The sequence below is a fragment of the Homo sapiens genome, chromosome 17 (assembly GCF_000001405.40).
Source record: "Homo sapiens chromosome 17, GRCh38.p14 Primary Assembly".
NCBI lineage: Eukaryota > Metazoa > Chordata > Mammalia > Primates > Hominidae > Homo > Homo sapiens.
In genome coordinates, this window is record NC_000017.11 from 57574940 (window position 1) to 57590232 (window position 15293).

Here is a 15293-nt window from a genome sequence, read left to right on the forward strand (position 1 = left end):
GCTGCCTCAGCCTCCCAAGCAGCTGGGACTGCAGGTGCCCACCACCACGCCCGGCTAATTTTTTGTGTTTTTAGTAGAGATGGGGTTTCACTGTGTTAGCCAGGATGGTCTCAATCTCCTGACCTCGTGATCCGCCCACCTTGGCCTCCCAAAGTGCTGGAATTACAGGCGTGAGCCACTGTGCCCGGCCGCATTCTCTTTTTTAACTCCCTCCCCCCGCCACCCCCCGGCTGGAGCAGATCCCTGTTCTGGCTGGTCCCATCCCCTCCACAAGCAGCCCATGGACACTGAAGCTTATTCCTGGAGAGAAAGTGATTGGGAGATCCAGGGTTTTGCCTGGCTTATAGTTTCTGTGGCATCATTTGCCCTAGATGCTCAAACGTCCTATCTTGTCGGTGGAAGTGGCAAAACCACATTTGACACCGCTCTAGGTGGCGGCTCAATGGGAGTGGAGTGCTGCGCATCTCCTGTTTGACCTTTCAGTCGCTGCATGGCTCTTCCAAGCTGCCGCAGCCTGGAGAAATGTGAACTTTCACCAAAGCCTTTGCAAATGAGCTTTTCCAGACAAGGCAGATGGCTTTGTTTGGCCAGGCCTGAGGACCCCGGGATTGACTTCCTTTCTGCTCTTTCTTCTCACTGTCCTCTTACTCCCCTGCACCTCAGACCTTCAGCTAAGCAGATTCCACTCCCCCTGGCCCAGGCTCTGGGTAGAAATTGGAAAAGGAGCCGGGCGCGGTGGCTCAGGCCTGTAATCCCAGCACTTTGGGAGGCTGAGGCGGGTGGATCACGAGGTCAGGAGATCGAGACCATCCTGGCTAACACGGTGAAACCCCGCCTCTATTAAAAATACAAAAAATTAGCCGGGCCTGGTGGCAGGCGCCTGTAGTCCCAGCTACTCGGGAGGCTGAGGCAGGAGAATGGCGTGAATCCAGGAGGCGGAGCTTGCAGTGAGCCAAGATTGTGCCACTGCACTCCAGCCTGGGCGACAGAGCGAGACTCCGTCTCAAAAAAAAAAAAAAAAAAAAAAAAAAATTGGAAAAGGAGGCTCTGGTGGATTGAAGAAGCAGCCCTGGCGTATTTTTCTTACTTAAAACTTGGTCTGGGACTAACTGCCTCTGGTCAGAACTGATTTAGTTTTTAGGAATCATTTGTAAGACAGACACTGTGGGAAGGCCATCCTTTAAAGCCATTGATTCCTGTAATAATTATTTGCTGAACACTGGCTCTGTGCTGGGCACTTATCAGGGGCTGAGGATATGGTGGTGAACAAAACCAACAGCAGTCCTGGAGCTCAGGCTCAACAACTCTATTCCTTGCACACATTCTAGCCGTGGAGAATGTGGGTTGTGTGCTTCTCACAGCCTTGAAGGCAAGGGCTGGATCCTACTCTCCATTGTATCCTAAAGGCCCAGCTGAGATTCTTTCATATAGAAGGTATCCAATGAATGTTTGTTGTAGGAATAGATGTTTTCTGTATTTCCTAAGACTCTAAAATGAATGTTACTTTTATAATCAGAAGACCATAATCCATGTTGGCTGGGTGCAGTGGCCCACACTTGTAATCCCAGCACTTTGGGAGGCCGAGGCAGGTGGATCACCTGAGGTCAGGCGTTTGAGACCACCCTGGCCAATATGGTAAAACCCTGTCTCTACTAAAAATACAAACATTAGTGGCACGGTGGTGCATGCCTGTAATCCCAGCTACTTGGGAGTCTGAGGCACAAGAATCGCTTGAAACTTGGAGGTGGAGGTTACAGTGAGCTGAGATGCGCCACTGCCCTCCAGCCTGGGTGACAGAGCGAGAATCTGTCTTTAAAAAAAAAAAAAAAAAAATGACTATAATCGATGTCTAATTTTAAAGAAAAAAAAAAAGGAAGGTTGGGCAGGGCGAGATTTTGACATGGTTTATAGGAAGCCTGGGGTTTTTTTAGTTGACTGTTAAGTTTTCTTTGAGGCAACAGGTGATGGAGCTGCTAAGGACGCCACCACAAAGGGAAGTCCAGTCCGGTATTTGGTTGCACTGCTCAGACCCCATGTGGAATATTCCATTCCAGGCATTTATTTTAAGAGGGGCATTGACAAGATAGACCACATCAGAGGAGGTCGTCTGATGGGGACCAGGACAGTATTACGGGAAAAATTCCAGAGGAACCAAGGAGACTCGAATAAGGAGAAATGAGGTGGCTACGTTAGATCTTGAAGGACTACCCCTGGGAGGGGGGCCAGGCTGCTTCCCCAACCATGAGTGGCCGTTTGTGAAGTTACCAAGAGAAAGGCTGATCCTTGGGCTGAAGAATTTAGCAACACCTCAAGATGCCCAACTCAAACAAGCTGTGTTTATGAAGTACCGAGGGGTGATGCCCCTTTCCCCAGAAATATTCAGAGACTAGAATTGATGAGGCAGCAAGATGGGGCCAGGGACCACTTTGCAAACCACTGGTGGGTCCTGCATTATGAAAGTCCAGCCTGGTCCAAACCGTCCCATTTCCAGACCCATAGAGCCCAACTGGTAATATTTCAGGAGGATTCTGTATAAAATTATATCTTTAAGCCCTGGTCTCCAGTAGATATTGGTTTAATTACCAGTTATTTACTGCCATGCTCAGTAGATGATAGACAAGCAAGAGAAAAGGATAAAATGAAAAAAATTAAAAAGAAAATTCCAAACCCTTTGAGGTAGTAGGAAGAGCCCCCTACTTGCTGAAGATGATTAAGAAATAAAGAGAAAGCTTTTCTTGGAGTCATGATGTAAGCCCAAAGGGAAAGTAGGTTCTTATTTATGAAAAAAGGTTATAACTTAAGCTGTTCAGAAGCACAGCAATTACTTGGAGTAAGATGCCTCTTAATTCATTTGGCCTCCTTTGTAGGTGGCTGAGTAAGTGTTTCTGCGTCCTCGGACTCCAGCCCTTCTTTGGTCGCCACTTGCTTTTGTTCACGGCAGGTCACTGGGTACTCCAGAGGCATTGTTGATAATAACATCTCTTTCCTCCCCCACACCACCCGCAAGCAAAGCTTTGGAAAAACAGCCAAGTGTTCAGCAAAGTGAAGGCTTCGCTTTTCTTCCTCCCCGCTCCTCCCCTTGTTGAGAAATCCCATTATCCGGGAGAATGATTGTGAAACTCCAATCTGTCTGCCGCTGAGCTGTGGGCCGTTCTTCTTGCCTCCTCCGCCCCTGCCCTGGTCCCCTTGTCTATCTGCAGGGGGAAGACAAATATCTATATATTAAAGCTTTAAGAATCTATAAATCTGAGTTGATTCTCTGCTGGTGACAGCCCAAGCTCTTTCCCACCACGTTTGACATGATCTAATGGGTTTACAGTTGTTTGAGTGCTTCTCTGAAGCAAATGAAAGTGCTTAGTTAGGGGACGTATGAAATGGCATTGTTTGTTCTGGGCACTACAGCAAAGCTAGGGGATCATCTTTAAATTATCCACCCTTTCTCTTCAGCCACCCCGCAGAACAAGGGGCTCTGCCGCTGAAGGAGCTGCAAAGACAGTTCCTACTGGCCTTGCCTTTCTGCTTGAGAGGTGCCAGGACTGGGGGGGTAGGATGCATCCCCAGCTGTATTCATTTCGCCAGGAAGCTTGGGGCTAATTGGGAACAGAAGAATGCCCAGGGGATGAGGGGAAGGGGACGGGAGAAGGATGGTCTCACCAAGGTAGAGGAGTGACAAATACTTGCTTCTAGCAAAACAGGAGTAAAAACAAGAGAGACTCCTAATGAGAGCTTTGGGGCAGTTTGTGCTTTCCATTCTCAGGGGCCAGCAGTGTGGGTTGGTGTGATTAGTTGCCTTGCTACTTGGCGCAAAACCAATTCCTCTTTTCAATATCAAGTTTCATAAGCGTGGAACAGTAACAAATCATTATAAACCCTCTGGGACTGGTGGGTGTGTGATGATGCGGGGTTGTTTTTCTTTTTCCCCCTCCTCTTTGATAAGCCCATCTTTTCAGCCCAGGTACATTTTTCCCATTGTAAACAGAAAATGGCATGGGAGGGAGTGTGTCTCGGAAACTTGCTGTATTGTTAATCTGTTATTAGGCAAAAGTCTTAACACCAGGCTGGGTGCTCAGATGCCTCATTGTGAGCTGGGGATGGAATTATGCATCATGAATAAAAACCGCTGTCAACATGCATTGGTTTCAAAACATTAGAGCATATGGTATGTGATTATCTGTATTGTCAAGTGCAATAAAGTGAATTTGGATATAATAAAGGATGTAATATTTTAGAAATTTGGTAATAAACTAAGGAAAGGATGACAGCTGAGGTTCCTTAAGGCCCCAGACACAAATAAATTGAAGTTACTGGTCTCTGTGGCCAAGTGGCAGAATGGCCGTAACATGGCTATCTGTGCTCGGTGATTTTCAAGTTGGGGAAAGCTCTGCTGTCGCTCGGTTGCCTTCTCTGGAGGACGCAGGGATGATCTGGCCCCCATGCTGGGTGGTGGGAGAGGCGGTGGCTCCCGTTGGAGACCCAGGTCTTGCCTCCTTGCCTGGCCTCAAGGTGTGCCCTGTGGCCTGCTCTGAGTGGCAGACGCATCTGCCTCCAGTCAAGGGCCGCCTTGTGCCAGCCATCAGGACATCTGAGGACCCCTCTCCCCTAGACAGTCACCTCTCAGTTAATCTCCAGCCCTCTTTGTCCCCATTTGGTCAATGGGAAGATGTTGCTGTAAACGCAAGGACCCTGAGCAGCCGCCCCTTGGAGGCAGCCGTCTTCTGGAACCCACATCCTACAGGGCCAAATTATTAAGTCATGACAGCAAGTCAATATAAGTAATGAGAATGGTCCTCTAGAGAGGCGTGAGTGCTTCAGCATCTGATGGGGGCTAGGAACTGTGCCAGGCTTCGGTGTACTCTCTCCTTAAATCCTCTATAACCCTATAATGCTGCTGTCCCTATTTGAAGGATGAGAAAGCTGAGACACAGCCAATCAGTTGTGGAACAGAGATTACAACCCATGTCTGAACCCAAAGCCCAGGCTCCTTCCACTTACAACCTTTTCTACAAATCCAGAGGCTCTTTCCATTCATAGTCCACAAATAATAACCCACATGTTCAGAAGGCCTCACCACAGGAAACTGGAAACCTTTACATTACTGGGTACCTAGGGCCTTGAAAGAATGTTCCAGAAAAAAAAAAAAAATAGAACCAGGTGACCAGCTGTCTCCTCTCTGTTCCCACTTGGGCCTAGCAGGGGCTGATCTGCCTTCATTATTCCTGGGGTTTTCCCTTAGCACTGATTTTTCTGTCCAGCTCTAGCAGGGTGAACCCATTTATCATCATATCCTAACAGTTTGCCTTGGTTCAGAACTCATCTTCCTCCTCTGGGAAGGGCTCCTGCCCCCACCAAACCAAAGTTTATCGATGAAGGCTGAGGCAGCATCTGTTTGCATCTCCTGACTGACTGCTTTTGTGTTTCTGACCCTGGCTTTACCTTGACCCCTGGCATTTGACTTCAGGGCTTGCCTTGGCCCCCAGCCTACAGGAAACCCCGGGTGAGGCCTGCCCCCCACACCCTCCACTTAGGCCTGGCCCCTTCCTTCCACCCCGGCATTCTGTGGCTCTTCCAGTCCTGGCTTCCAGTGCTGGTCTTGCTAGCTGCCCTGCCAGGTGGACGGCTTCATTAGTAAGCGTGAAAAATTGGGAGTGCCACCATCAGGCCAGGCTAAAGCAATTTGGATGGCTGGGAAAAGAGAAGACATTTAGTCCATTTCATGCCTGGATACCCCTGTAATTCCTGGGACAGGCTGGGAAGAGGCTTCAATAAACCCCTCTGGCCTAGGAATCTTGTGACCAGTTTGCACTGGAGACGACAACTAGGTGAGTTCAAATACACTTCCAAATCGCTCAGCTTTGGTACCTCAGAGGTGGCTCTGCTAAAGCTCTTATCACCGCAGTCAACATTTATTGATAGCTAAAGTATTTTCAAGTCTCAGCTGGTAGCCCACTCATTCCAAGCAATATTGGGTATAAAATCTTTATATAAAAACAACAGACTTGTGCAGGCATAACCAGAACTAGCATTATCTCATTTAATCCCCATGCCAGCCCCATGAGGTCAGCATCTTTTTTTTTTTTTTTTTTTTTTTTTTGAGACACAGTCTCGCTTTGTCACCCAGGCTGGAGTGCAGTGGCACGATCTCTGCTCACTGCAACCTCCACCTCCCAGGTTCAAGCGATTCTCCTGCCTCAGCCTCCCAAGTAGCTGGAACTACAGGCGTGTGCCACCACGCCTGGCTAATTTTTGTATTTTTAGTAGAGATGGGGTTTCACCATGTTGGCCAGGCTGGTCTTGAACTCCTGGCCTCAGGTGATTCCCCAGCCTCCACTTCCCAAAGTTCTGGGATTACAGGTGTGAGCCACTGCACCCAGCTGAAGTCAGCATCTTTATTCCTACTTTATAGGTGGGGACATAGGATCAGGGAGGTTGATGGCTTGCCCCACATCACACAGCTAGTAAACAACCAGGATTTCTACGATGTCCTCGGATCCAAGATTCAAATCCTCCCAGTCCATGGAATTTCACTCATCTGTCTTAAAAGAGTGTGTTGCTTTCTCCTCCTCCCCACCCAAACCCTTCCATGTAGGTTCTTTTGAGTAGGCTACACTGAGTGACATCTGAGAACAATTTTCTTTAGGAAAAAGAGACCTTGAGTCGCTGTCTCGTGAGTTTCTCCCAGACACAGTCTTAGAACATGTAGAGGGGCTGAGGGTGAACCCCGAAGAACACTTGTGTTCTTGCTCCAGATCCCCAGGGCTGCCCACTGACAACTGTCCCCACCCTGCTGAAGAGCTGGTGAAATTGAACCAAATGCTCCTAATGATCTGTGAATGTATTAATCCTACTTTCTGTTAATTAACAATATGATAAAACCAGCATTTCGTAAGTCGTCGCTTAACACATGTTTTAGCAATTATATACTTAGTGGTTTGTATTCAGAATGCTAATAGAATAAAATTTTAATGAAGATACGATGCTATGAAAAATTTATTGAGACGAGTTCAGGTATGGCTGCCGTTAACATGCAGGAGACAAGCATCTCAGTTTGAAGAGTGAACCTCCCCAATGCCTCTCAGCACTGTGTGCTGCTCAGTCAGGAGGACCCAGGAGATCCTGAAATTGGCTGATTCTTGACTCCCGTGAATTTCTCATGCAAAGATCCCTTCTTGGTGTGGGGAGGGGTCCACACCCGCTGGCAGTCACTGAAGGTCCCTGTTCCCACCCTACCTCCAGACTTCTAGCAATCTCTGTGAATAAGAGGCAACTTCAGAACCAGAGTCCATGATGTACCATCTCACCTTCTCCTAGAGAGTCTCCAAAATTTTTTAATTGTGCAGAAAAAAAAATTAGCATGCCGCCCCCCAATATATCTTACCTGATTTTTAATTTATATGCATGTACCGCTATGTTAATATTCATGTATATTATAAAACCTATACAAATAGGACTATAATAGGATACATTAAGAATTTTATTTATTAATAATTAAAGTAATATTTTTATTACTTTAGAGAGCAATATGATTGAATATGCTGGTTTTAAAAAAGAATTCTTGATTTAACACTTCATGATCCAACTCTAAAGGTTGGATTCTAAGTTTAGTTTATTTTGATACTTGGTTTTAATGCCTGGCATAACTGAAAAATACACCTCACAAGATAAACAGATCCCAGCGGAGGAAGCACGATTCACTGTGCTGGCTAAATCATGATACTAATTTTTCAACCCCATCCTCCAATTATGCAAAGGATTTTGTTGAAATTCAGCTTGTAAATTTCCATCTTCCCTGATGTCAATCAGTTTTTCATGCAAACTAATCAAGTGTTGCATTTTTATATTTTTAACAAATGGGTTCAAAATCCACTGAAATGTTCATGTTTTTTTTCAAATGAATCTTTACAGTTCTGTTTCCGGATTTTAAAAGTCTGCAGATATGAGAGCTTTTGTAGATGACCTAGTTACATCATTTTTAGCAACAAAAACACTAAACAATAGAAATATTTTCCAAACATTTGTTTTCAAAGCACTTTCTCTACGGTACCAGTTTCTGTTGAAAATCAGGTTCTTCCTCATTCACTTGGCTGCAACTTGTCCCATCTGATCAAGATATGTTTTTGGGGGTGTGATGTGGCTGGTTAGGTGTCTTGCCTAAGGGTATGGAAAGGGTTGGCTGACCATTTACTTTTGTGGCATGTGCTTGTATCATTAGTATTATCTCCAATCCATGTTTTCTTTGCAGTTACCTACTTTGTAAGGGTTGGTTTTCTTAAAGCCAGATCGCATAATCTATACCTCCATTTACTGGTTACCTGTAAACAGCACAAGGTACCAGCTGTGCTCAGGTGAGTAAATGAGGAGCCCCACCCTCATGGAAACATTTCCTCTTTTCCTTTAGTGGCTTATAAGGACAAGTGTCTTGCTGACATAAGGACATGTGAAGGCACTGGGATTATTCAGTCATATGATAAATGTTAGTGAAGCTGGAATTATTTCCAGGTGACAAAAATTAGGCATTAGGCATTATACTTTTTTCCTTCTCCCAATGTTTCTTTTTTTTTTTTTTTTTTTGAGACAGGGTCTCACTCTGTTGTCCAGGCCGCAGTGGCATGATCTTAGCTTACTGCAGCCTTGACCTCCTGAGCTCAAGCTTCCCAAGTAGCTGAGACCACAGGCACGTGCCACGACGTCAGGCTAATTTATTTTATTTCATTTTTTGTAGAGATGTGGTTTCACTGTGTTCCCCAGGCTGGTCTCAAACTTCTGAGCTAGAGCAATCTGCCTGCCTTGGCCTCCCAAAGTGCTGGGATCACAGACATGAGCCACCAAACCCAACCTCCCAAAGTTTCTTAACCCTAACTGAATCACTTGGGAGATTTTAAAACATACAGATGCTGGGGTGCTACCCCTAACTCAATTCTGAGGATGGGACCTGGACATCAGCATTTTGAAATTTTTCCCTGAGTGGCTCTGATGTAAGACTCACTACTGAGAAGCAGTGTTCTAGACTGATGCATCTTACATTTTAATTTGCATAAAATCACCTGTTAAAATGCAGATTCAGGTTCAGTGGGTCCAGGGTGGGGCCTGAGACTGCATTTCCAACCAGCTCCCTGGTGGTGTGGATGTGCTGATTGGTAGAACACCCTAAATAATGAGCTCCAGACTGTGCTGCCCCCTGTCCGCAGTAGCCTCCTCACCTCATTCCTCCCTGTCACTATCCCAGGCCTTTGCTGAAGAGTCAGGGAGCAGTCTCCGCTCCCTCCTGGCAGAGCCGCCACGCCAATCCAGCTGCCTGGGCTGCTGGTCACAGCTTCTCAGAGAAATCTGGCTTCCAGATGTTAAGAACAGTTCCTTAACAGCTGGAAGAATATAATAAAATAGGCCAGACCCCACCCCCTGGTGAATTTAAGTATGTGTGTCTCTTGCAAACCACTCATCAGAGGCACCCGATGGTCATCTGCCTGCCCGCAGACTCCAGGCAGGTTTGCTGGCAGTGTAGCCGGGTGGGGTCATGGAGATGCTGGCAGGAATGACCCCCCTGTGGGGGGCGCGGAGGGAGCAGTGGGCACCCAGCCAGGGCTCTGTCAGTGGGACTGGTCTGAAACCATACCTCATAATAAAAGTCATATAATTTGTGGCAGCGCTGAAAACCTGCTCCAAGTAGTGGTTTCTTGATGGAGTTTTGGAACCTTATCTGCGGCTGGTAACCATTCCTTGAGAACTTGTTGGAGAAAGGCGAGTGAGCATCTTAAGAAGGCTGCTGGGGAAGCTGAGTGCACCAGGGCGGGGGGCCAGCATGCCCGCACCCTGCACAGCCAGGTGCGACACTCAAAGATTAATGGATGATTTGGGTTTTTTTTTTTTTTTAACCTAAATGGATGCACCTTAGGGTCTTTTTTTGAGTTGGGGTCTCGCTCTGTCACCCAGGCTAGAATGCATTGGCATGATCGCGGCTCACTGCAACCTTCGCCTCCCAGGTTAAAGTGATTCTACTCAGCCTCCTGAGTAGCTGGGATTACAGTCATGCGCCACCACTCCTGGCTCGTTTTTGTATTTTTAGTAGAGACGGGGTTTCACCATGTTGGCCAGGCTGGTCTTGAACTCCTGACCTCAAGTGATCCACCTGTCTTGGCCTCCCAAAGTGCTAGGATTACAAGCATGAGCCACCACCACGCCCAGCCCTCTTAGGGTCTTTTAAAAGTAACAAGGTGACCTAGGAATTCACTGCATGACTTGTTTTACCTCTCCCTGTCCTGAATCTTATCCCATCATGATAGTTGGTAAAGCACCATGAACATCTGCCTTACAGACATGTCAAGTGGATTTTAACAAGTGAGGCTATATACAGAGACAAAAGTAAGCATGTGTGGAGATAGAGATTGGGCTAGGGGAGAAATAACAAGGCTAGTTTGACTGATAGGAGGGGCTAGCTATCTTCTCAGAAGTGCAGGTGTTTTTAAGCAATCCTGACTGGTGAGGTGGATCATTTGTCTCACAGAGGAGGATACCAAGGGTCAGAGTGGTTGAATAACCTGCTCAGAGTCATGCAGCCAGTTGTGCTAGAGCCAGGATTTAAGCCCAGATCTACCCAGCTCCAAAGTCTAAGCCCTTTTCCACCCACCTCAGTGGGGACATTAAGTAGATTGAAACTCCCTCTTAGCTTGTGTGTTGCTCGCTGCATGGATGAGGCTGGAGGATGAACGTGAGAGAAGGTGACAAATTTGAAACCCACTCTTCAGTGGAGTAGCTGGGGGTACCAACCCAAAAACCCACCTCCAGAGGGAAGAACTTCCAGCTGATACCCCATCTCCCCTGAGCTCAGAAAGCCCTGAGTTGAGAATCCTTGAAGGCCATGCTCCCGCAGTTGGAGCTCGCCAAAGCCGCCCCGGGCTCTGTGGTTTCCAGAGCAGATGCGGAGGCGGCACGTCCTCGTGCCCTTGCTCCAGCTGCGCACACGACCTCAGCCTCCTCTGCCCCGCTGGGCGCGAGCTGCAGTCCTGGCACCTTCTGCTGGGGTCCTGATCTGAGCCAGTTGTCTAGCGATTTAATTTGGTGAATTTACCACTGCGTCCCAGAGTTTATATTGGCACTTAACAGCAGTAATATGTTTCTCTCTCGCCAAGAACTATTTTCCCGACCAAGATGGAACACCACGCACAAAAAATAGGTTTGTGAACTAATCTGCTGCCCTGACAAGTGTCATTCACAGAATCACTGCTATAGAGCGCACTCGGAATTAAATGAGGCTGGGGTTGTCTGGCCTGGATCACAGGTGCTTTTTCCCACTCAGTTAACAGGAGTCTGGGATGAGACACCCTTTCCCTGCAGCCGCAGGCACTTTCAAATCACACTATCAGTATTCATGACAGATTTCTCTCTTAGAAAAATGGTTTGAGGATGGTTAGAGGTCTCTCTCTCTCTCTCTCTTTTCCCTTCTAACCTCCCTTTCTTCCCTCCTGGGTGGTTCTTTTTAGGATGCCCCCACCCTGTCTGTCCTTATAAAATGCAGCTCTGTAAACATTTGTCTAATTTCACAAGCTCAGGGAGGTGCCCCCATCAGTTAAAAAAAAAAAAATCTCCTAGTGCCTGATGCCTGTTTGAAATTCTAAAGTGGAACTTAATTGCTTTCGCGTAAGGATTTGATTCGGGCAAACTGCCCATACCTCTGGGAGTAGAAGCAGGATCTGTCATTTACACTTTAGTCTGAATGGGTGCCTGAACCTGGGAGAAAACAGCTTTGTCTTTCCCTGGTCTGCCTTGGATGTCAGAGGCTTCTTAAAGACAGCGTTATTGAGGGGCATGGTGGCTCATACCTGTGATCCCACCCCTTGGGGAGGCCAAAATGGGAGGATCACTTGAGGCCAGGAGTTCGAGAGCAGCCTGGCCAACGTGGCAAAACCCCATCTCCTTAAAAAAAAAAAAAAAAAGTTTCCCACTTCATGTAAGAGAGTTCCTCAAAATTCTCTTTCCTGTGGAGAGTTCTAGATTCTCTTTTACCATATGGTCTCCACTTAGCTTGTCTTGAATTGGGAAGCATAGGGCAGAGTCAGGCTTGCGTCAGCATCAGAATTACCAGAGACCTGGGTAAAAACGCAGTTCCTGGGCAACACCCACTGAGACCATGTTAGGAGCTGGCAGAGCCCAGGGATCTGCATTTTTGACAAGCCCTTCCCCCATGAGAGATTCTGCTGCAGGACCATACCCAGAAGCATTGGTCTAGGAGCACACTTGGCCCTCAGCCCCACCTTGATATATTGTCTAGGAGCATCCATAAATAAATGGTCGCCAGGTTATGGTGGCCAATTGGAAAAACTCTTTGTAACTAAAGCCTGATGAAACACTTGCTGGTTCATGGTTGGCGCCTGACTTTTAGAAGGTTTCTCCTCACATTTCAAGGTCAAGGGTTGGCCAGCGCATCCCTGAGCTGAAAAGGAAAGAAGAGCACCTTTCCAGTTGAGAAATTGGCTCCCCTCTGGCAAATGCCGCCAACGTAGCTTAATATTAATTTAGGGAATGCAGTCTTGTGCAGTTCCATGGAACTAGATTGGAAATCTGATAGTGCCATTTCTGTTATCTGATTCCTCACACACCTGAGATCACTCCCCGCCCCCCACCCAACTCCCCCCAGCCCCAAAGGTGGCTGCAGAGGCGCAGGTGTGAGCTGGCTCACTAAGTCGCTTTCCCCCTCCTGATTAAGCGTGTGGGGGAATAAAGAAGACCCGTGTCGACTCACGCCGATCTCTGCCTTGCCTGTGCTTGAGCCACTTGTAATTCCCCACAGCCCCAGCCAGGTCTGCAAGGCAGGAAGAAATATGACCAGGCAAGTTGAGAAAATAAATTAAACTAAGTGTCAACTTTTCTTGTTTCTCTCCTCATTATTAAGAGATGGAATGGGGCTCGTTTATCAAGCAGGGGGAGAAATTAATTGACACGGCTTTAATATCATGATGTCTGGCGTGTCTGGTCACATTCCTTCATTTTCTGGAAAGGCATTTTATTATAGTTTACAGCAACCAGCTGCCAAACTACTGGTGTAAACGAGGAAGCAGGTGCATGAAGGATGCCACAGTGGAGGGGCTGCGATGCCACCCTAGAGGGGACGGAGACATGGCAGAGAAGGAGGGCCAGTTCAGAAGGGACCCCAAAGAGAGGCTGCTTATTTTGGGGGGAGGGAGGAAGAAGGATATCAGGGAGGAGGGAGGGCTGTGCTAAGAGGGCATGCCAGCAGACCCCTCGCATCCATCGCGGGCTTGTTTACTGGCCCACCAGGAGGGCAGTCTCAAGTATCTGCCTCTGATGGCCTCCTGACCTGGAAGTCTTTGTTCTTAACCATCCCTGAGGCTGGGTGCTGTGTACAGCTCAGGTCAGCGTGCCTGCCCCTTTTCTTTCTTCTTAATAAGGCCAGGGAAGTGAGCACTTCTCTGTCCCTCCCTCCAGGGCAGCTGACTCATTTGAGAGCCAGTTTGCTGCAAAGAAACTTCTAGCATCAAGTCTGGCATCCCAGTCCTACTTCAGGTACATCTGCGGTTGGGGGTCTGGAAAGGTTCGGAGAAGTCACTCTGCTGTGCTCATCCTGGTTAGACTGGCTTAGGAGATACTCTAGCTGTTTTTCTGTGTGAAGGTCTTCTTTGCTGTGTATCTCTGAAAATCCTCAGTGCCTCCTTCCCTGCTCTTATATTTAAGAAATCACATACTTCAGGGTGCAGGGGAAGCCAACATAGAGCTGGAGTGGATGACCATATCTTTCCCCACTCTCTCCTTGCCCTCTGTCTGCCGGATTGTAAGAACTGAGGGCTCTTGCCTATTTCATAGATGTTCTTACAGGGAAACATGACAGAGACAGGGTTCAGGGGTGCAGTTGTTGGACAAGGTAGGAATTGATGAGTATGGAACAGTCTGCCTTCATATGAAGAAGGTGGGCTGCAGGGGAGAGAACACAGGGTCCCACTGGGGCCTCAGTTCTTCGTCTGTGAAGTGGGAACAATCATTTCTATTCATACTCCCCAGGGTGGGGCTGGGGGTGAAGATTGAGTTACAGAGTGGCTGCTCAGTGACGGCAGATGAGCTTTCTCTTTTTAACATTATTATTAGAATGTGGACTGATCCTCAATAACCACCTTTGGGAAGCAGATGCGAGTTGTAATGGAAGGAATCCTAGCCCTTCCCACCTTACAAAGTCCACATTGGCACCCGGATGTAAAAGCACACACAGCCTGATCATCACCCACCCTTTCCCAATCCCTAGTGTCTGAAAACGCCCAGGAACCTCTAATGGCGACTCCAATTGGCTCTCACTGAAGCCAAAGTATTGTGCAGTGATTTCCCAACATGGCAGCCAGTAATCAGAAACATGCTGCTGCTTTTGAAAAGGTAGCTTGTTTTTTTTCTTGGAACATACTGATCTTCTGAGTTATATTTTTCTTAGAGCAAAGCCAAGGCATGTGATGCCACCTCCCCATGCCTGCCATGCATCTGTGCACACTACTCATCGCTTCTGCACTTCCAGGTGGGGCCTCAGACCTTCCAAGTTTAGGGTTGCAGGACAGCTGACTTGCCAAACCTGCCATAGCTCATGGAGGTGACCTAGAAACGTTCCGCGTTGGGGCTGGGGACAGCCCGAGGTGTGGGGTTGCCAATGGACGCACAGCCAACTGGGGCTCGACTTGTGACGATGCAAGCACACCACCATGCCTCCTTGCCAGGCCGGTCCCTCTCATGCTCTCTGAGCCATATGGCCACCAAATCCATCCCTGAACACTTACTGATCCAAAGAAGACCCTGACAGTCTTCTCCAGAAAAGTAGGGGGGAGTGTGAAAGTAACTTGGGGTACCACTCCTGGGTTCAGTTCCTGCCTCTGGTTTAGCGGCCATGTCACGATGGATGAGTCACTGAACTGTGCAGAGCACTTGAGCACAATGACAGTAGCAGAGCCTGCCCTGCCTCTCGCAGAGTTGCCTTGGGGACCAGGTAGGACGATGGATGAAAAGGATTTTCAAACCAGAAAGTGCTCCCCACACCCACACCCAAGGGATTCATTTGTGCTGGAAGCAACCCATGAATATTGCTTTCCCCAAATACTAGGTTATTAGCAAGAGAGGGAAGCTGCATGAGTTATAAATATTCTTAAGTACACATACCTTAAATTTCTCATGGGATACCCAGAATAAATTTGACAATCTGGGGTTTTTTCCTCCCTCATTTTTTTTTCTCCATTAACCAAGTATGTTAACTCATGACTTGCATTGATTTTCACTGAAGATGCATTAGATACTACATGATTGCCCATTAGTGT

At 47.5% G+C, this 15293-nt stretch overlaps 1 protein-coding gene across 12 annotated transcripts in view, besides 3 other annotated features; it reads left to right on the plus strand.

The window, feature by feature from the left end:
* Positions 1 to 15293, plus strand: part of MSI2 (musashi RNA binding protein 2) — a 445731-nt gene that overhangs the window by 319089 nt on the left and 111349 nt on the right. The gene's annotated exons all lie outside the window — the stretch shown is intronic.
* Positions 4016 to 4516: an enhancer, noted in NCBI's record as "H3K4me1 hESC enhancer chr17:55656316-55656816 (GRCh37/hg19 assembly coordinates)". NCBI's record gives its function as "activates a minimal SCP1, AML or CMV promoter by ChIP-STARR-seq in naive H9 embryonic stem cells {active_cell/tissue: H9 hESC(naive)}" and the evidence as "EXISTENCE:reporter gene assay evidence [ECO:0000049][PMID:30033119]".
* Positions 4517 to 5017: an enhancer, noted in NCBI's record as "H3K4me1 hESC enhancer chr17:55656817-55657317 (GRCh37/hg19 assembly coordinates)". NCBI's record gives its function as "activates a minimal SCP1, AML or CMV promoter by ChIP-STARR-seq in naive H9 embryonic stem cells {active_cell/tissue: H9 hESC(naive)}" and the evidence as "EXISTENCE:reporter gene assay evidence [ECO:0000049][PMID:30033119]".
* Positions 13051 to 13580: an enhancer, noted in NCBI's record as "OCT4-NANOG hESC enhancer chr17:55665351-55665880 (GRCh37/hg19 assembly coordinates)". NCBI's record gives its function as "activates a minimal SCP1, AML or CMV promoter by ChIP-STARR-seq in naive and primed H9 embryonic stem cells {active_cell/tissue: H9 hESC(naive and primed)}" and the evidence as "EXISTENCE:reporter gene assay evidence [ECO:0000049][PMID:30033119]".